We start from the raw sequence: 21,884 nt of genomic DNA, 5'->3' as shown, positions 1-21,884 counted from the left end.
ATTACAGATGTGAGGCACTGCGACCAGCCCTCTTCTTGATATACTTACAAAAGGAATAAAATCCCTGGTTTGATGAGCTTTTTAATCATTTCAAAAGATCAACAATCCTTTGCCAGTTGACTTGTCACTATAAAGTATCAAAACAAACTCCCTGGGTGGGCTACTCGGGCACCTGCAGCAGTGGGTGGGCAGGTGGGTGGGCGCTATGTGCCTGGCAGCCCACACAGCCCGGCTCACACACCACCAACTGACCTGGGGTGTGAGGGCTCCCTTCCTTTTGCTAGCCTCTGCTTTCTACTATTTCCTAAAATTAGCACATGTTAAGGATTTGGCCAAGGGTACTAAATAATAACTATTTTAATTCTAGTTATATTTTTGGATCAATGGTGCTTTTTTTTTTCCCACTGAGGTTTCCCTTTGTGCTATTATGTGAGGTCTTTGGTGTAAATTTCTACCCCTCCCTCTTTGCCGTGTCCCATTTCCATGATGCTTTGTGTTTTCAATGTTCTCTACGCATCAGGGAACTCTGGAATCTGTCCCTTTCCTGTAACGGTTTTGTTCTACAAGTAATACCAATGCTAAGACTGCATTTTTATTTGTCATCAATTAATGATAAAACTTAAGATTTTCACGGTGCTATTAAAAGCACAACAAAAAGCTATGTTATTTGAAAATGACAACTGGTTTTTGGTGTATATTTTCAATTCCTACATAAAACCTTTTTTCTTTCCAATATATTTTTGGTAGAGAAACAAAGAAACACAATCTGCATAAAATATTTGTTATTGAGTATTAACAAGAAAGAGGCATTCAGAGACCTCTAGCTTCTAACATTGCTATATTAGAAAATGGCATGAACTTGAAATTATATTTATACTGTCATTCTAACACACAGGACCATTTTCTGCAAAAACTCATGGAGAGTGTGTCCATTTTTCTGTCATCGTACCTGCCACCGTCGCCATGGCTACGTTTCCCTGCTGCAGCGCGGACGCCGGCACCACAATTCCCTGAGGGCTGATGGTGCCTGTGATGGCACTTTGAATCTGCTGCAAGTCAGAACACACATGTTGAAGGAATTACTAGAAAACGGAAAACCCATGTTTAAAACTTTAACATAAGTAGCATAATGACACCATTAAAAAAGGAAAGAGAAGCTTGAGGGAAAGAACATCCTCAGATGACGCGGCTTCAGAATGCACGCAGCACACACGGAAAGCAAGAGATGTTCAACTGTGTATTAAACACAACAAGCCAGCCTGCAACGTCAGCCTGCACTGTGGCTTCCAAAAGATTATCTTCATCTCACTGCCATATTCCACGTGCCTTACAGCCCAGGAGTATATCGAGGAAGACCCTGCTTTCTGATCACACATCTTTTTCATTAGACTTGGCTTGGTGGACTCTTGAGTTTTCCATGAACCAAGCTCTCCCTGACCGATAAGAGCATTCAAGAGATTATAGCACAGGCCTGGGAGGCACTAGAAGTGACCAGGGCTGAGGTATTCCAAGCTGTGCTGGGGAGTCAGCCCCTGGCACCCACCTTGACTCTTGACCCCGGCACGGACTAAGTGTGATCTTGGCTTTCCCCAGTGTTCTTGCTTGTACAGTGCTTGGAACTGTGCCCGGCCTACAGCGAGCCCCATGCAAATGTTTCTACATGCCCCATGGAGGACTCTATGCATCTGGGGTTAGATCCACATGGGCCACTTTATCCACTGACTGTGACGCCTGGGTGGGCAGCTGGCAGGGGAGAGGAGCCTCCAGTGCCGGGCCTGGCACACTCATGTGCCCTGACATGTGAGCAGTTACATAGCATAAGGGGACGCCACCCCAAGGCGGTGATTCTGTGGGCCATCATCGAGCGGAATGTGTAAGCTTAGTGGCTACGCTTAAAGCCTGCCACATTAATTAGGCTGTAATAAAAGTTAAGCTAGTCAAATCAATCATCCCAGCTTCCACCTTAAGATCTTAGAAAAAGAGGAACATCATGAACCGAAAGCAGAAGAAAGGAAATAATAAAGATCAAGGTGAAATCAATGAAACTGAAAACAGAAAAACAACCAAAAAAATCAATAAAACAAAATACTGTTCTTTGAAAATTACATAAACCTCTAGAAAGACTGACTAAAAAAAAAATAGAGACACAAAAGATCAATATCAGAAATAAAACAGGAAGAGATCACTATAGACCCTGCTAACACCAAAAGGCTATGAAGAGAATACTAGACCAACTCTAAACTCCTAAATTTAACATCTTAGGTGAAATAGATCAATTCTATTTCTCAAACATTTAAGAAATAACACCAAGTCTACATAATCTCCAGAAAAAAATAAGAGGAGGGAATACTTCCCAATCCATTTTATGTAAGTTTGTGTATTTTGATACCAAAACCAAAGACAGTATGAAAAACAAAACTATACACCAATATCCCTTACAAATATAGACAAAAATGCTGAACAAAATATTAGCCAATAGAATTCAAGAATACATATGAAAAGAATTATGTGCCATGGCCAAGTGGAGTTTATTCCAGGAATAGAAGGCTTGTTCAATATTCAAAAAACCAATCCATGTAATGTCCATTATTAACAGGCTAAAGAAGAAAAATCACATAATCATATCAATCAATGCTGGAAAAGCATTTAACAAAATTGAACAAAATAAAATCTCTCAGAAAAAAAGCAATATAGGATAACCTCCTTAACTTGATAAAGAGCATCTAGAAAGAAACCTGCAACCAACATCATCGACAGTGAGCGACTGAAAGGTGTCCCCTAAGGCGGTGACAAGGCAAGGATGTCTGCTCTTGCCACTCTTATTCGAGATGGCACAGGCCAGGAAAGGAAATGCTTGGGTATAATTCTAAAAACGCATGTACACAACTTATGTGTCAAAAACTACAAAGCACTGATGAATGAAATCAGAGTTGTCAATCAATGGAGAGACATGCCATACCTGTGGACTGGAAGACTTAATGCAGTAAAGATGTCAATTCTCCCCAGATTGATATACAGGTATAATACAATTCCTATCAAAATCTAAGCAAGATGTTTTTGTAGCTCTAGACAAGAGCATTCTAAAATTTATGTGGACAGGCAAAGGAACCAGAACAGCTAAACAATTTTGAAAAGGAATCACAGGGTGGGAGGAAACAATGTGCCCAGCTTTGAGAGTTATTCTATAGAGAAATCCACTCAAAATGGATCACGGATTTAAATGCAAAATGGACAACTATAAAACTTTTGAGGCCAGGCATGGTGGTTCACACTTGAGCCCAGGAGTTTGGGACAAGCCTGGGCAACATAGTGAGACCTTGTCTCTATTTAAAAACTTTTAGGAAAAAACTTAAGACGAAGTCTTTGGGACCTAGGGTTAGGCAAAGAGTTCTTAGACTTGACACCAAAAGAATGATCCATAAAAGGAAAACCTAATAAATTGAACTTTATTAAAATTAAAAAGGCTGGCTCTGAAAAAGACCTGTTAAGAGGATGAGAAAAATACTTAGCTACTATAGACTTGGAGAAAACACTTGCAAACCACATATCCAACAGAGAACTAGTATCTACAATAAGCAAAGAACTCTCAACACTCAGAAGTTAAAAAAAAATCCAACTAAAAAATGCGCAAAAGACGGCCAGGCGTGGTAGCTCATGCTTGTAATCCCAGCACTTTGGGAGGCCAAGGCGGGCGGATCACGAGGTCAGGAGATCGAGACCATCCTGGCTAATACGGTGAAACCCCGTCTCTACTAAAAATACAAAAAATTAGCCGGGTGTGGTGGCAGGCACCTGTAGTCCCAGCTACTCAGGAGGGTGAGGCAGGAGAATGGCATGAACCCAGGAGGCGGAGTTTGCAGTAAGCCGAGATCGCGCCACTGCACTCCAGCCTGGGTGATGGAGCGAGACTCTGTCTCAAAAAAAAAAAAAAAAAAAAGGCAAAAGACATAAGCAGCAGACATTTTATCAAAGAAAATACACAGAGGGTATAATAATGTTCAACATTATTAGCCATCAGGGAAATGAAAATTAAAACCACAAAGAAATATTAATATCACTACATATCATCAGAATGGCTAAAACACAATAGTGCTTCCGCATGGATGAACCCTCCAGGCATTCTGCACAATGAAACAAGCAAAGGATCCAGAAGGACAAACACTGTACGATTCCGCTTAACATGAGAGACCTGGAGTCATCGAATTCACAGAGACAGACAGTAGAACGGTGGGTTCCAGGGGCTAGGGGAGGGGGAATCCGGAATGAGTGTTTAATGGGGTCAGAGTTTGAGTTTGAGAAGATGAGAAAGTTCTGGAGATGGATGGTGTTGATGGTTGCCCAACAATGTGAATAAACTTAACACCATTGAACTGTAAATTTTAAAATAGCTAAGATGGTAAATTTTATATTATGTGTATTTTACACAATTTTTCAAAAGAATAAGTAAAATATTTTCAGAAGAAATAAAAGAAAGAAATGAATGGAATTGTGCCTTCCATAAACATGGGACCGGGGGCCCAGTATGCAGATTGAGGACTCACTTCATAATCTGAGGGAGTTCATTCCCAAACCAGGCTGGGGTCAGAGACCTAGAGGGTCCTTCTTGTAGAAAGTCATAAAGATGACCCAGTGAATTCTGAAAGAGCTGGTGGTCTCATGACTCAATGCAGATGTTCACAGTGGCAGAGAGGGAAAGCGAGACCCCCAAATGTAAGTACCTGGGACTGCACTGGTGAGTACGGGCTTCCAGGCTCTCCACTCAACAGAGTTTCACTGTTCATTTTTGTTTTCAGACAAGCAATGTATCGACTGCAGAAATCTTTGCAGAGTTCGTTAACCTTTTCCAGCTCAAGAAGATGAATGCGCAAAACCTGGATTGCTTTTACCATCTAGAGCAGAGAAAATGAAGACTTTCAGAGAAAAAGGTGGCATTATTGTAAGTTATCATGATCCTACATACCAGTTCTTAGTCATTAGATAGAACCATCTCTACTGCCAATAACCAAAGTGGAATAACATCAGAAATCCTCTAAACTGATGTGTTGTTCCGGTGCCACTGACCTGGGCTTTGGTGTTTGGCTGCATCTGGTGTGCAGGGAAGACAAAGGCGCGTGGTGGTGACCTCGGTGCATCCCAGTGCTAGGTGTGTGGGCTGTGAGCCAAAGCCTAGCCCTTCCACTGATTCGCTCTGTGGCAGGCAGGACAAGTGACTCACCCTCATCTACTCCTGTTTCTACATCCACAAATAGTGATACATCCACACTCACCCTAGGCTAGTGCTACATTTTCATAAAGTTCCATTTTGGTGTCTTTGCCTAGTTCTAGATCCTCAAGATTTTCTCTTGCGATTTTTCTAAAAGTTATATCATTTTGTTTTGTTTTGTTTTTTGAGACAGAGTTTCACTCTTATTGCCCAAGCTGGAGGCTGAAGTGCAGTGGTGCGATCTCAGCTCACTACAACCTCTGCCTTCTGGGTTCAAGTGATTCTCCTGCCTCAGCCTCCTGAGTAGCTGGGATTACAGGTGTGCACCACCATGCCCAGCTAATTTTTGTATTTTTAGTAGAGATGGGGTTTCACCATGTTGGTCAGGCTGTTCACGAACTCCTGACCTCAGGTGATCCACCTGCCTCAGCCTCCCAAAGTGCTGGGATTACAGGCGTGAGCCACCACGCCTGGCCAAAGTTGTATAGTTTTATATTAAGTAACTACATTTTGGGGTAATTTGTCCCACAGCAATAGATAACTAATACCAATAATGCAGCCATTTTCATAAGCACCAGCTGCCTATGAATCAGCAGCTCCGAAGCCCATCTCCTTCACCTGTAAATCTGGTGGTAGGAATTCGTAGGTATCTATGCAGTGAATAAATGAATCACTCAGTAACAAAAATGATGGAGTGTCAAACTCTGCTAGGCCCTGTGCTAAACACTCACCAGTCAAGAGAACCTTGGTCCCTGCCAGCCTAGTGGGGTGCAGAGGACACCTGTGCTCTACTCACTGGGCCAAGCCAGGTGTGGGCCAATGGGAAGATGGATGTGGACCACAGACTCAGGGGTGGAGAGAGCATCGGATCCTCACCCAAAGAGCATGCACTGTTAGTCTCATCTCAGAGAGGAGGAGACAGATTCAAGTCAGATAACTCACCCACAAAATCTGTTTCATGGTAAGCATCGAGTATATAATGAGAATTTTCTTAAAAACTAAGACCTCAGCAATTTATTCAGGAAAAATGAGTTTTCCAAAAACCTTTTCTGTTGAAGGCCCTAACCAGGGTTTTGATATGGGACCAAGATGGCTCGAAGGGAATCCAGTGAAGGTTCCCTGATGCCGGATCTTTGTGTACCCAGCTCTGAGAAGTAAACACGTGGTTACACTCTGGCAGGAGAGCACACCCAGAGAGTGTGGTCTGCCCAAAGCTGACAGTGCTGTACAGGTGCCTCAGGTGCAGCTCATTCAGAGCAATCCAGTGATGACGGAACCAAGATGTTCTCCATTGCCTCTGGAGGGCACAGAAAACGCTGGATTTTGGAGCCCTGGCCCTGGGGGGAGGGCATCACAAATCACTGTCAGCCTCAAGACAGAGCTGTCGCCGGGCGTGGTGGCTCACACCTGTAATCCCTGCACTTTGGGAGGCTGAGGCAGGCAGATCACAAGATCAGGAGATCGAGACTATCCTGGCTAACACGGTGAAATCCCGTCTCTACTAAAAATACAAAAAAAATTAGCCGGGCGTGGTGGCGGGTGCCTGTAGTCCCAGCTACTCGGGAGGCTGAGGCAGGAGAATGGCTTGAACCTGGGAGGCGGAGCTTGCAGTGAGCTGAGATCACACCACTGCACTCCAGCCTGGGCAACAGAGCGAGACTCCGTCTCAAAAAAAAAAAAAAAAAAAGACAGAGCTGTCTTGGAGAATACAGCTCAAGTCTGTGTCCATGTCCATGATAAGCCAAGGACAGACACAGGTCACAGACATGCCACCCGAACACCCCAGCCCTACGGACCTTTACAAACACTGTGCAGAGAACTGAATCCCCGTGTCCATTTGGCATGGAGGCTCAAATTATTTTATTTTATTTTATTTTATTTTTATTTTTTGAGACAGAGTCTCACTCTGACACCCAGGCTGGAGTGCAGTGGCACAATCTCGGCTCACTGCAACTTCCGCCTCCTGCGTTCAAGTGATTCTCCTGCCTCAGCCTCCTGAGTAGCTGGGACTACAGGCATGTGCCACCATGCCTGGCTAATTTTGTATTTTCAGTAGAGATGGGATTTTGGCCAACATCGAGACCAGATGTTGGCCAGGCTGGTCTCGAACTCCTGACCTTGTGATCTGCCCACCTCGGCCTCCCAAAGTGCTGGGATTACAGGTGTGAGCCACCACGCCTGGCCTATTTTATTTTATTTTTAAAGGAAAGGGTAGGTTGGGCCTTGAGAGACTGAGGAGGGAAGATTGCTTGAGGCCAGGAGTTTGAGACCATCTGGGGGAATACAGTAAGATGTGTCTACAAAAATAAAATAAATCTAAAAATAAAAACTAAATAAATAAAAGATACCTAGAGAAGGCTGGAAGACTTGGGGATATCCACATTACACACACCATAAAAATTCTTTTAGAGTTGTATGAGTCTCTCCTTTAGCAGAACTACAAGCAGTCTAAAGTTCTACTTAGAAGCCTAAAATTTCATGAACAGATTTCACATTTTGAAAACTAAAAATAAAATTTATTTTACTTACTAAATTATCAGTTTCTGGATCTTCACAAAAGAAAGGTTTCCCTTCCTTCTCTTGCTTTCTTACAAAATTTTCGATGTCTACATCAAAACTGGCAGAAGTTGTGCCTTCAGAGCCCTGTGTAGATTGTTCACATTTTTCAAACAACAAAGCTAATAATGGAAATAGTGGATGCCTGAGGAGAAAAGAAAAAAAAGAATCCATTTACGTTCTACATCTCCGTGAGAATGTCTTTGCGTGTATGCCTGCACTACTTCACTAACACCTCTGTTGGGTGAAAATGCACACGCCACACGGTCCACCCGTTGAAAGTATGCAATTCAACGGTTTTTACAGTTGCACAGCATTGCCGCCGTCAACTTTGGAACATTTCCATGATCCCCGCAAAGAAACCCTGTATCCAATAGCAGTCATTCTCCATTTTTTCCCAGACCCCAGCCTGTTAGAACCTACTTGCTATCTCTATATATTTGCCTCTCCTAGACATTCTGTCTAAATGGGAACCGTCTAACCTGTGACCGTGGTGTCTGGCTTGTTTCCCTCAGCATAAAGTGTCCAAGGCTTACCAGTGTTTTACGGGTATCAGTACTTTATTCCTTTTTTTTTTTTTTTTTTTTGAGATGGAGTCTCACTCTGTCGCCCAGGCTGGAGTGCAGCGGCACGATCTCGGGTCACTGCAACCTCTGCCCTCCCAGGTTTAAGCGATTCTCCTACTCAGCCTCCCCAAGTAGCCGGGACTACAGGCACCCGCCATGATGCCCAGCTAATTTTTTTTATTTTTTGAGATGGAGTTTCGCTCTTGTTGCCCAGGCTGGAGTGCAATGGCGTGATCTCGGTTCACCACAACCTCCGCCTCTCGGGTTCAAGCGATTCTCCTGCCTCAGCCTCCCAAGTAGCTAGGACTACAGGCATGCACCACCATGACTCGGCTAATTTTGTATCTTTAGAGACAGGGTTTCTCCACGTTGGTCAGGATGGTCTCAAACTCCTGACCTCAGATGATCCAACCGCCTCAGCCTCCCAAAGTGCTGGGATTACAGGCGTGAGCCACCATGCCTGGCCTAGTTTTTGTTTTAGTAGAGACAACATTTCGCCATTTTGGCCAGGCTTGTCTCGATCTCCTGACCTAAAGTGATCTGCCCGACTTGGCCCCTCAAAGTCCTGGGATTACAGGCATGAGCCACCGCGCCCGCCACTTCATTCCTTTTACTGCTAAATATTCTTGCATTGCATGGAGATGCCATAATGTGTCTGTTCATTCATCAGTTGATGGGCATGGGCACTGTTTCCAGCTTTTGGCCATGATAGGCTGTGCTGCTATGAAAATTCATGTACACGTTTTTGTGTGGACTTTTTTCATTTGTGTTAGGTATACATATGCATAGGAGTAGAATTGCTGAGTTATATATAATTCTATGCTGAACTTAAAAAAAAATTTTTTTTTTTTGAGATAGGGCCTCACTCTCTGTCACTCAGACTGGAGTACAGTGGCATGATCTCAGCTCACTGCAACCTCCGCCTACCGGGTTCAAGTGATTCTCCCACCTCAGCCTCCAGAGTAGCTGGGACTACAGGCATGCACCACCACACCCGGCTAATATTTGTATTTTTTGGTAGAGACAGGGTTTCGCCATGTTGGCCAGTCTGGTCTTGAACTCCTGACCTCAGGTAATCCACCTGCCTCGGCCTTCCAAAGTTCTGGGATTACAGGTGTGAGCCACTGCGCCTGGCAGACTTTTAAATACTAAACAAGTCTGACATTCCCAGGAAAAACTTGACTTGGTCGCTACGTATTATTCTTTTTACATATTGCTAGAATTGATTTGTTAATATTTTATTGATGATTTTTACATCTAAGTTCATGAAGGATATTGGCCTGTATTTTCCTTATTTGGTATTGTCTTTGGTCTTAGTGTCAGAGTGATGTCAATTATAAAGTGAGTTGGGAAGCATTCACTCCTCCTCTACTTCCTGAAAGAGACTATGCAGACTTGCTGCTCTCTTCTTCTTTATATGTTGGGTAGAATTCTCAGTAAAATCATCTGTGCCTGAATATTTCTTTTTGCAAGGTTACACAAAATTTATAGATTGATATTCTAAAACTTTTATAGGTATTAGAAATAACATCTTTGTGTGTGTGTGTGTGTGTGTGTGTGTGTGTGTGTGACAGAGTTTTGCTCTCGTTGCCCAGGCTGGAGTGCAGTGGTGCGATATCAGCTCAATGCAACCTCCGCCTCCCCGGTTCAAGTGATTCTCCTGCCTCAGCCTCCCAAGTAGCTGGGATTACAGACATGTGCCACCATGTCTGGCTAATTTTTGTATTTTTAGTAGAGATGGAGTTTCACCATGTTGGCCAGGCTGGTCTCAAACTCTTAACCTCAAGTGATCCGCCCGCCTCAGCCTCCCAAAGTGCTAGGATTACAGGCATGAGCCACCACACCTGGCCAGAAATAACATCTTAATCTGAGAAAATTTTCAGCCGAGCAGTTATCACATCATAATGGCACCTCACAACTCTGCCTCGCTACTAGTTCTGGTGTTCCTTTTAACAAACTTGTGGACACTCCTCACTCCTCTGAGGCCCCCACAGCCGGCACCCCGGGCACTACCTATAAATGGCCTGCTTGTCCACATCCATCGGGGTCTGAGACTCCACAGGGGGAGGGCTCACTCCTTCTGCATCGGGTTCAGAGCAGTTTGGATCTTGTTCTGTCTTTAACTCTGTTACTACTTGCATCTGTAAAAGGAGGAAGATAATTCTTATTAGCAAACACAAACTACTACGAGGTATTCCATGCTCCAACAGGAATGCAGTTGGAGTGGGGAATTGCCAGACAGCAGTATGACTGCAATCATATGTAAAGAATGCTACCAACAAAACAGCTTTGAATTTAATGTGCTTTAAAATAAAGGTAAAATTTCCAAACTGCTTAAGAACTGAGATAACCAATGTCTGTGAAATGCTCATGATTTTAAAATAACACTGGCGATGGCCTAATGAAGAGAACGGCACACGTGCAATCTACTCCTCCGTCTATTGCTATATCTCCTCACGTGTAGCAATACTACAGTCAGAGAAGCATAGACAAATAGTCCAAGGTCTTCTTACCATGTCACAGACACAACCTAACCCATACGCTACATATTTGGGACAAGGTTGAACTTCTCCCATATCTACCCTCAAACCTCAGCAATACATAGCCATAAAAATGTCACTGCATTCAGAAAGGAAAAGGCCAGCTGTGTTTACTTAAAGCCTTAAAAGATACTATCATTTAAACTGCTTTAAACAAGCAATGCCTTTGTCATTTAGGTAAAAAACATTTAAATCGTTAAAAAAAATCAGTTTACAAAAACAAAATTTCGTGAAAGTAAACTTCTAGTTATCCATGAGCAGCAGATTAGACTGTCCTGACCTCAGCTTCCTCAGGACCAGGACGGGCCATTTCTCCCGCGGTGGATTTGGCCATGCTTCTGCCCCTTGAGGAAGCAGCTTGGGGCAGCGGGGGCGGGGAGACCTCATGGGAGCGGGGCCATCCCCACTGTCCAGACAGACTGGGGGCCAGCCATGAACGCCCACCCGCACAGGACGCCTCTCACATCCTCCAGCCCTGTGCTCTCTTCCCTCCAATGTCTTGTTTTTGCAATAAGATGACTTCTATTCTGCTGCCTTTAAATGGTACAACATATTAGGAAAACTGTTTATGTTTCTCTTAAAAAAAAAAAATAAAAGCAATAAAGCCTAAGTGGACACAGTATTTGTGTAAGGCAATCTGCCAGCATGTATAAAAAGCCTTAAAAAGGCCAGGCACAGTGGCTTATGCCTGTGATCCCAGCACTTTGGGAGGCCAAGGTGGGCGGATCACCTGAGGTCAGGGGTTCAAGATCAGCCTGGCCAACATGGTGAAACCCTGTCTCTACTAAAAATACAAAAAAATTAGCTGGGCGTGGTGGCACACACCTGTAATCCCAGGTACTCAGGAGGCTGAGACAGGAGAATTGCTTGAACCTGGGAGACGGAGGTTGCAGTGAGCTGAGATCACACCACTGCACTCCAGCCGGGGCAACAGAGCAAGACTCTGTCTCAAAATAAATAAATAAGTAAATAAATAAATAATAAAAAATAAGAAGCCTTAAAAGATTCATTTCAGTATTTGAAAAAAAAATGATTGTGAAAAGAGAGAAACCTAAATGTTCAACCTTGGAAAAATGGCAAAATAATTATGATAGGTCTACGCTGTAGATATATTTCAATGTTTATTTAAAATAATGCTGATTAAACACTTCCGAGGCCCTTGGAAACACTCGGGTATGAAAAGGGCAGTGCTCCAGGTGTCATCTGCACCTGGCACAGCTGCCTGGGAGGAGGTGGCTGGTAGCAACCAGGCTGTGTTGGAGGTGGTCACCGTGCCTTGGTGCACAGGAGGCAGCAGTGGGGTCGGAGCAAAGACCTGGCAGGCAGGAGGGAGAAGAGTGATGGGAACAGTGAGGACCGGTGCTCCAGGGCAGGCAGAGAGGTGCCCAAGATATGCCAGGCAGAGATGTTGGGGGCGTCCTGGGGTCCAGAGGGGCCAGACGATTCGGGCCACAGAGCAGCTCAGTCTTTGCATGAAACCCACAGGAATCCACAGGGAGCCACTGGAGAGCTCAGGCGGGACATTATTAGATTTGCATTTTAGAAAAAAAAAAAAAAGTCAATTGGAAATACCAAAGGACTAAGGACTTCTAGGCTAAGGAAGCAGGCTGACTACATCACAGAATCTCCCTCCTTTAATTGCTATACAGAGAAAAAAAAACACTAACACCACCACCACCAACAACAAAAATCTCTGCCACAGGAACTGAACAAGGACTGGTTGGTAAAACTAACCACCAGGGAAAGGGGGACCCAGCGCCTCAGCTCCTAACCCCTCCTCAGACCTCACCAGCATGGCTCCAGTGAGTTTTCCGGAGCCTGATCCTTGCCACCGAAGTCCTCGAGGTGGGGAGGAGAGCCGAGGGGGGTGTACTGCACTGCCCCTGCCTGCTGGGCAGGAAAGTAAAGGGCAGGGCCAAATCCCTTCACTGGCTCCAGAGTCAGTGGGATGATGAGCCAAATGCCAGTGGGTTCAGAACACCGTGTTTAACAAGATCGCAAGCCAAGAAAGACCACAAGGGCCTCAGCCAAGTCTCGATCCACCTGCTCCTCAATTCATTCAGGTCACAGAACACAAAACACTCAGATACTCAAAAGCACAAAACACCACAGCTTCCAGGAGAACAAAGTCTCATCTATGGTGGGAGGGCAATGGAGAGCTGCCCGTGTATGGCACAACCATCCAAGCACGAGCAAGGTACAAAGATAGAGCACTGGGGCCCCTGCAAATTCATTACTGGGACAGCCCCTCTCATGCCTACAACTGGGGAGACGAGGCTACAAGATTCCCATTCAAAAGCTGATCCAGTTAGACACTCAGAAGAGCCACCAGTCAACATGGGAATCTGTCATCATGAAAATCAACCGGGTTTTCTTTCAAAGTAACAGTGCTAATTAACACTGACATTAAAAAGGTAAATTCCCAAGAAACTGTCATATGACTTAGGGAAGTCAAGATTCCTGGCAATCTTGGTATCAGTTAACGAAATAGTATTATTCTATGGCTTTTTTTCTGAACACGAATGTACAATAAATGCATAATACACTAACACTGAGCATGCAACCTCATGGCAATTGAATTGCAAGTATACAAAGCAATGTTCATGCTTGAGTGCCAGGTTGATTTGTAATTAGAATGCAGAATCAAGTTCAAGCTCACCTGTTGCCCATCTTGATAGCTGTCTATACTTAATGTCTGTGTAGCCATCATGGTTCATCAGAGTTTTATAAGACATCAAATCATCTTGGGTGAAAAGCGAATGGTGTCTGGAGAACAAAACCAGAAAAGCATCAGTTAATAGTTGTAGAGCATTTTTTGTCTCCCTCATTCCATAACATCAAATTTTTTTTTTTTGAGACCGAGTTTCACTCTTGTTGCCCAGGCTGGAGTGCAATGGCGCGATCTCGGCTCACCTCAACCTCCGCCTCCCAGGTTCAAGTGTTTCTCCTGCCTCAGCCTCCCTAGTAGCTGGGATTACAGTCATGTGCCACCATGCCTGGATAATTTTGTGTTTTTAGTAGAGACGGGGTTTCTCCATGTTGGTCAGGCTGGTCTCGAACTCCCGACCTCAGGAGATCCACCCGCCTCGGCCTCCCAAAGTGCTGGGATTACAGGCATGAGCCACCACACCCAGCCCATGACATCCAATTTTTAAAAATACATATTTTTACATGTAGAGAACAAAAAAATTATCCTTAACAGTATGTTATGACCCAAATCCTACTTAGCAACCCTTCACTTACATAGCAATCACTTATTTTCCTGTGCTAGGCCCTGACTTGCTATTACATTTTCAGTCACTGTCATTCATTGCCCAGCTAATATCAAGTCAATGCCTGCCCATGCCAGGCAGCATGCTGGGCCTGGGGTGCGGCAGTGAGCAGGACAGGCAGGGCCTCTGCCTTCCTGACACAAACCAGGCAAGGGAGAGACACAATACACAGGGTCAAGAATGGGCACAGGGTGAAGTGAGAGGGGGCCTGGGCTGCTTTCCCGGGCCGTGTGGTCAGAGCAGGCCTCGCTGGGAAGATGCTGTTACGTCGAGACTGGAGAGACAGGCTGAGATCAGGGAGTTTGGTGTTTCAGAGAGAGGGAACAGCTAACACAGAGGCCTGAGACGGGTGGAAAAGAGGCGCTCAGGGAGACTGAGATGGGCATGCTCATATACACACGCACATAAGACAGGCAAGTGTGGCGCACTTGCTTCATGACAACAGAAAACCGCAAAATGCCACTTCCGCACTGAAGGATGGAGCAGGAACGCAACCAGCACCTGCAGCATGGGTGTGGAAAAACACTGCAGAGTGGGGGAGAGCAGCCGGGCTGGACCACGGCCGGCATGGCCTTGCTGCTGCTGGTGCAGGTCACAGACATTTAGAGTCTGGGCTGCCCTGAGAAGGTCATGTGGAGGTCAAGGGCAGTTGTGCCACTTGTTCTGGACTAGCAAGAACAGCAAAGTTCCCCAAGGAAAGCAGCACTTTAGGAGACAGTGTTAAATGGAAAGAAATCCTGTCCAAGTCTTGCAGGATGCAGAAGGACTACCGTCCTGTCCTGAGCGAGACAGTTCAAAGGAACAAGGAGCCGGGCAGTGGCTCACGCCTGTAATCACAGCACTTTGGGAGGTGCAGGCGGGTGGATCACAAGGTCAGGAGTTTGGGACCAGCCTGGCCAACATAGTGAAACCCTGTCTCTACTAAAAATACAAAAATTAGCCGGGCATGGTGGCATGCGCCTATAGTCCCAGCTACTCAGGAGGCTGAGGCAGCAGAATCGCTTGAACCCAGGAGGCAGAGGTTGCAGTGAGCCAAGATCGTGCCACTGCACTCCAGCCTGGGTGACAGAGCGAGACTCCATCTCCAAAAACAAACAAATGAAAGAAAAAGGAACAAGGAGTCCAGTGAGAACAGCAGCAGCCGTGGCAGCAGCCAGGTCGCCTCTTGAGCACATTGAGCCATCTTAGTGCAATCTGCCCTCACAAAATCCGTGGGAGGCACTGCTGTGATGCCACTTACACCTTAGAAGCCTGAGCAATGTGGCCTCAGCCACCACGATGGCCAGAGGCTGAGCTGGGACTCACCCTCAACAGCGTCATTCTGGAGCCACTAAGGGGGTGCAGTCAAAGGGCACAGGAGGCACAGTCAATGGGGTAAAAGGGAGGGGGCAAAGTTGTGGATACAAGGGAGGGGGCACAGTCAATGAGTACAAGAGAGGAGGTACGGTCAATGGGTACAAGAGTGGGGCCACAGTCAATGGGAGCAGCTTCTGTGGCCTGGGAGGGGAGGGCATGTTGGGACATTTTAAGTTTGAGATGCTTCTCAGACACCCCCATTAAAACTCTGAGCAAGGGAGTCTGGCCTAGAAACGCAGATTTGGCCACCATCAAAGTATAGTTAGTACATGTAGAGGGTAACTGTGTCCTCCAAAAAGACACGTCTAACTGGACACGGCGGTTCATGCCTGTAATCTCAGCACTCTGAGAGCTGATGTGGAAGGACCACTTGAGTTCAGGAGTTCAAGATCAGCCTGGGCAACATAGCAAGACCCTGTGCCTACAATACTAAAAATAAATCTGCCAGGGTGGGTGGCTAAAACTTTATTTTTATTTTTATTTATTTATTTATTTATTTATTTGAGACGGAGTCTTGCTCTGTCACCCAGGCTGGAGTGCAGTGGCGCGATCTCAGCTCACTTGCAAGCTCCATCTCCCAGGTTCACACCATTCTCCTGCCTCAGCCTCCCGAGTAGCTGGGACTACAGGCGCCTGCGACTACGTCCGGCTAATTTTTTGTCTTTTCAGTAGAGACGGGGTTTCACCATGTTAGCCAGGACGGTCTCGATCTCCTGACCTTGTGATCCGCCCGCCTCAGCCTCCCAAAGTGCTGGGATTATAGCCATGAGCCACTGAGCCCGGCCAACTTTATTTTTAGATATTTAATGTGTTTAAAGCCTTAAGACTTTATGAGACCATTCAGGAAGAGAGAGAACAGCCTGTGCTAGAAGACAGTCTGGAGCTCAGGGAGACAGGAGGACACAGCACAGGATGAAGAACTGCCATGGGACAGCAAAAGAACCAGGTGGTGCCCCCAAAGCCTCGTGGAGAAGGAGGACCAAGGATGTGGGAGTGCCAGCCACGGCAAGGACAGCTGAGTGCCAAGGAAGAGGAGGCTGAGTGCCAAGGAAGAGTGGGGCTGAGGGTGCTGCCAATGAGCAGGAGAGCCTGCAGGGAGAAGGCTGTGACTGAGCAATCTCACAGCCCGGGGGAATCCTATCAACACAGGTACACCCTTGCAACACGGCATGGGAGCCACTGGTAACAGAAAAGGCTGGAAACCGCTTTCAACAGCAGCCTGGTATAACGGATAACGGCCACCCATGAAATGGAATATGTGCAATTAAAATATGAGGAAAACACTTCAGGAACTCTTCCCCAAGACAACTGTTCTGCAGAGACCCTACACATCTGCAAACGTGTCACTGAACCTCTCCTAACAGGACTCCGCCTTGACCATAACCTGGCTCTCCTCCAAATCTCTGCTTTCCCTCCAATTTCACTTCCATCTGCTCCCCTGCACCCCAGTGCAGTGGCTCTAATTCAGCGCCATCACCTCACACCTCAATGGTGGTAGGAGGCTCCTACCTGGTTGTATGAGCCTCTAGTCTTCCCTCTTCCAGTCCATTCTCCAAGCTTTCTTTTTTTCTCCCTTTTTTAGAGACAGGTTCTTGTTCTGTCACCTAGGCTGGACTGCAATGTTGCAATCATAGCTCACTGGGGCCCCGACTTCCTGAACTCAAGAGATGCTCCCACCACAGCCCCCTAAACAGCAGGAACTACAGGCCCACACCACCATGCTGGCTTTTTAAATTTTTTGTAGAGATGAAGTCTTGCTATATTGCTCAGGCTGGTCTTGAATTCCTGGGCTCAAGCAATTCTCCTGCCTCAGCCTCCCAAAGTGCTGGATTACAGGTGTGATATGGTTTAGCTGTGTCCCCACCCAAATCTCATCTTGAATTCCCACGTGTTGTGGGAGGGACCCAGTGGGAGGTAATTGAATCATGGGGGCAAGTCTTTCCCATGTTGTTCTCCTGATAGTGAATAAGTCTCACATGAGATCTGATGGTTTTAAAAAGAGGAATTCCCCTGTACATGCTCTCCTCTCTTTGCCTGCTGCCATCCATGTAAGACATAATTTGCTTTTCCTTGCCTTCCGCCATGATTGTGAGGCTTCCCCAGCCATGTGGAACTGTAACTCCATTAAACCTCCTTCTTTTGAAAACTGCCCAGTCTTGGGTATGTCTTTATCAGCAGCATGAATATGGACTAACACTGTAAATTGGTACCAGGAGTGGGGTGTTGCTGAAAAGATACCCAAAAATGTAGAAGTGACTTTGGAACTGGGTAAGAGGCAGAGGGTGCAACAGTTTGGAGGGCTCAGAAGAAGACAGGAAAATGTGGGAAAGTTTGGAACTTCCTAGAGACTTGTTGAATGGCTTTGACAAAAATGCTGATAATTATATGAACAGTAAAGTCCAGGCTGAGGAGGTCTCGGAGGTGGGGAACTTGTTGGGAACTGGAGCAAAGGTGACTTGTTATGTTTTAGCAAAGAGACTGGCAGCATTTTGCCCCTGCCCTAGAGATTTGTGGAACTCTGAACTTGAGAGATGATTTAGGGTATCTGGTGGAAGAAATTTCTAAGTAGCAAAGCATTCAAGAGGTGACTTGGGTGCTATTGAAAGCATTCGGTTTTATAAAGTAAGCAGAGAATGAAAGTTTGGAAAATTTGCAGCCTGACAATGTGATAGAAAAGAAAATCCCAGCCGGGAGCAATGGCTCATGCCTGTAATCCCAGCACTTTGGGAGTCTGAGGCAGGAGGATCATGAGGTCAGGAGTTTGAGACCAGCCTGACCAACATGGAGAAACCCCGTCTCTACTAAAAATACGAAAATTAGCCGGGCTTGGTGGTGCACGCCTGTAATCCCAGCTACTCAGGAGGCTGAGGCGGGAGAATTGTTTGAACCCAGGAGGCAGAGATTGCAGTGAACCAAGATTGTGCCACTACACTCCAGCCTGGGTGACAGAGTGAGACTCCATTTCAAAAGAAAAAAAAAGAAAAGAAAATCCCATTTCCTGAGGAGAAATTCAAGCTGGCTGCATAAATTTGCATAAGTAATGAGGAGCCTAATGTTAATCCCCCAGACAATGGGGAAAATGTCTCCAGGGCATTTCAGAAGTCCTCATGGCAGCCCCTCCCATCACAGGCCCAGAGGCCTAGAAGGAAAAACTGGTTTCATGGGCCAGGCCCAGGGTCCTTGTTCTGTGTGCAGCATAGGGACTTGGTGCCCTGCATCCCAGCTGCTCCAGCCGTGGCTGAAAAGGGCCAATGCAGAACTCGGGCCTTGGCTTCAGAGGGTACCTCAAGCCTTGGCAGCTTCCACATGGCATTGGGCCTGAGAGTGCACAGAAGTCAAGAATTGAGGTTTGGGAACCTCCGCCTAGATTTCAGAAAATATACAGAAGTGCCTGGATGTCCAGGCAGATGTTGGCTGTAAGGGCGGGGCTCTCATGGAGAACCTCTGCTAGGACAGTATGGAAGGGAAATGTGGCACTGGAGGCCTCACACAGAGTCCCTACTGGGGCACTGCCTAGTGGAGCTGTGAGAAGATGGCCACTGTCCTCCAGACCCCAGAATGGTAGATCTACCAACAGCTTGCACCATGCACCTGGAAAAGCTGCAGACACTAAATGCCAGCCCGTGAAAGCAGCTGGGAGGGAGGCTGTATCCCGCAAAGCCACAGGGGCGGAGATGCCCAGGACCATGGGAACCCACCTCTTCCATCAGCATAACCTAGATGTGAGACATGCAGTCAAAGGAAATCATTTAGGAGCTTTAAGATTTGACTGTCCTGCTGGATTTCAGACTTACATGGGAGCCTGTAGCCTCTTTGTTTTGGCCAATTTCTCCTATTTGAAATGGCTGTATTTACCCAATGCCTGTACCCCCACTGTATTTAGGAAGTAACTAACCCGCTTTTGATTTTACAGGCTCATACATGGAAGGGACTTGCCTTATCTCAGATGAGACTTTGGACTGTGGACTTTTAAGTTAATGCTGAAATGAGTTAAGACTTTGGGGGACTGTTGGGAAGGCATGATTGGTTTTGAAACATGATTATGAGATTTGGGAGGGGGCAGGGGCACAATGATATGGTTGGCTGTGTCCCCACCCAAATCTCATCTTGAATTCCCACATGTTATGGGAGGGAGCTGGTGGGAGGTAGTTGAATCATGGGGGCAAGTCTTTTCTGTGCTGTTCTCATGATAGCGAATAAGTCCCACAAGATCTGATGGTTTTAAAAAGAGGAGCTCCCCTGCACACATGCTTCTCTCTTTGCCTGCTGCCATCCATGTAAGACATGACTTGCTCTTCCTTGTCTTTCACCATGATTGTGAGGCTTCCCCAGCCATATGGAACTGTAAGTCCAATTAAACCTCTTTCTTTTGTAAATTGCCCAGTCTTGGGTACAACTTTATCAGCAGTGTGAAAATGGACAACACAAGGTGTGAGCTACCTGAGTAGACCCATTCTCCAAGCTTTCTAAAATGGAAATCTGATCATGTGACTCACATGCTTAAAATTGCCTCTGCCCAACCCTCACCCTCAGGCATCAGCATCCCCTTACTGACCCCCTTCCGCACTCCAAGTTGTATAAACAAACCAATCGCCACATTTAGCTTCCCCAGCATGCCAGGTTCTCTCCCACCCCTGAGTCCTCCCCAGCCTGATAGTTCTGCCCAGACACACTTCCCTCTGGGCATGGCTAGGTGGAGAACATGCATCGCCCACATCACCTTCTCCAGAAAGCCTTCCTGATGAATCTCACCCACACTGGGGTTAAGTTTGTCCATGCTGGACCCTCACACAGCACCCTCTGCTCAGCTCCGCAGTACTTCAGTTGTTCATTTGGACTACAAGTTCCTTAAGGGCCAGGGGCCCGTCTTGCTGCATCCCCAACTACTAGCGCTGTCTCTGATGTCAATAGGCACTAAATACAAATGCTTCCTGAAGCTAATCACTGACATTATACATTTTTGGACACATAATTTGCTTGACTTCATCCCACATCTCCTTGTTCCACTTTAGGCAATTTTAATTTTTTTTGTTTGGCTGATGCACAGTTGACAAAATATTTTACAATTTTAATTTTTATGACTGTTAGTCAAGTGGTTGCTGGAACGTAAGGCTCCCGAGGCCACGCACTGTGTCTGAGCCAACCTCCATCCCCACACAGGCAGCGTCTGCTGACGCATAGCACTAGTCCTGTGGAGAAGTGTTGAAAATGAGTCAGCAGGGCTTTGTGAAACAATCTCTAAGTCCTAGTTTGCTTGGGAAAAATGAAATAAACAGCATATGGGGCCAGGCGTTATGGCTCATGCCTGTAATTCCAGCTCTTTGGGATGCTGAGGTGGGAGGATCACCTGAGGTCAGGAATTCGAAACCAGCCTGACCAAAATAGCGAAACCCCATCTCTACTAAAAATACAAAAATGAGCTGGGCATGGTGGCACATGCCTATAGTCCCAGCTACTTGGGAGGCTGAGGCAAGAAAATCACTTGAACCTGGGAGGCAAAGGTTGCAGTGAGCCGAGATCGTGCCACTGCACTCCAGCCGGGATGACAGAGACTCTATTAAAAAAAAAAAAATCAAATACAAAAACTAGCTAAATTAGCTGAGTACAGAGGCTCACACCTGTAATCCCAGCACTTTGGGAGGCCAAGGTGGAAGGATCACTTGAGCCCAGGAGTTCAAGACCAGCCTGGGCAACAGAACGAGACCCCATCTCTACAACAAATTTTTTTAAAAATTAGCTGAGCATGGTGGCTAACTTATATGGGTTTCTATGTAGTTGTGCTAGCTTCCAAAGAGTTCCAAATAAACAAAACTTGCAGCAAACACATCTGAGAAGGTCTGTAACAATACAGCCACAACACAGTCAGCCACTTTGTTGGGAGACAATTCTTTATGAGAACTGTCCATGGTGAGACTCCATTTTTAAGTCTCAGCATCTAGGCTTTCTAAGCAAACTTCTTAAAGGATGATGGACTTACACACACATCTGGAAAGCTGGCGCCAATGCACTGCTCAGGAGAGATTGGGACTCCCCGAGTGTTTATGGTCCAGAGGAGTGATGCTAGCGGCCTTCCACAAGAATCCTGTTAGGTCAGTTCAGCCAGAACCCCCTGCACCCTGATGTTTCCTCTTAGTTAAATTTTCCGTCCATGGCCCCCACTCCTGCTCCTAGGTCTCCCCCACTACACAATCCCATTGCAGCAGTCCCTATACCTATCATGATCATCCTGAACAGCCTGCCCTTTGTCTTGCTTTTCTGAGACAAGGTCTTGCTCTGTCACCTAGGCTGGAGTACAGTGGTGCAATCATGCAGCCTCGAACCCCTGGACTCAAGTGATCCTCCTGCCTCAGCCTCCCACGGAGCTAGGACTACAGGCTCACACCACCACACT

General features: G+C 46.1%; 1 protein-coding gene across 8 annotated transcripts in view; it reads right to left on the bottom strand.

Moving 5' to 3' along the window:
- Positions 1-21,884, bottom strand: part of PKNOX1 (PBX/knotted 1 homeobox 1) — a 59,370-nt gene that overhangs the window by 15,975 nt on the left and 21,511 nt on the right. For 3 of the 8 annotated variants that reach the window (XM_047440826.1, NM_004571.5, XM_047440829.1), the window contains 5 exons: positions 13,525-13,631; positions 10,339-10,466; positions 7,733-7,904; positions 4,719-4,889; positions 950-1,049 (listed from right to left, as the gene is read on the bottom strand). In XM_047440826.1, coding sequence (XP_047296782.1) covers positions 950-1,049; positions 4,719-4,889; positions 7,733-7,904; positions 10,339-10,466; positions 13,525-13,575 — 622 coding nt within the window. In that variant the 5' untranslated portion in view covers positions 13,576-13,631. Of the gene's footprint in view, positions 1-949; positions 1,050-4,718; positions 4,890-7,732; positions 7,905-10,338; positions 10,467-13,524; positions 13,632-17,002; positions 21,813-21,884 lie in introns of those variants that run through there. The other 5 variants (XM_047440828.1, NM_001320694.2, XM_047440830.1 and 2 more) reach the window with 3 other exon arrangements.

Source organism: Homo sapiens, chromosome 21, assembly GCF_000001405.40.
Source record: "Homo sapiens chromosome 21, GRCh38.p14 Primary Assembly".
Lineage (NCBI taxonomy): Eukaryota > Metazoa > Chordata > Mammalia > Primates > Hominidae > Homo > Homo sapiens.
This window is presented reverse-complemented; position numbering and strand designations above follow the sequence as displayed.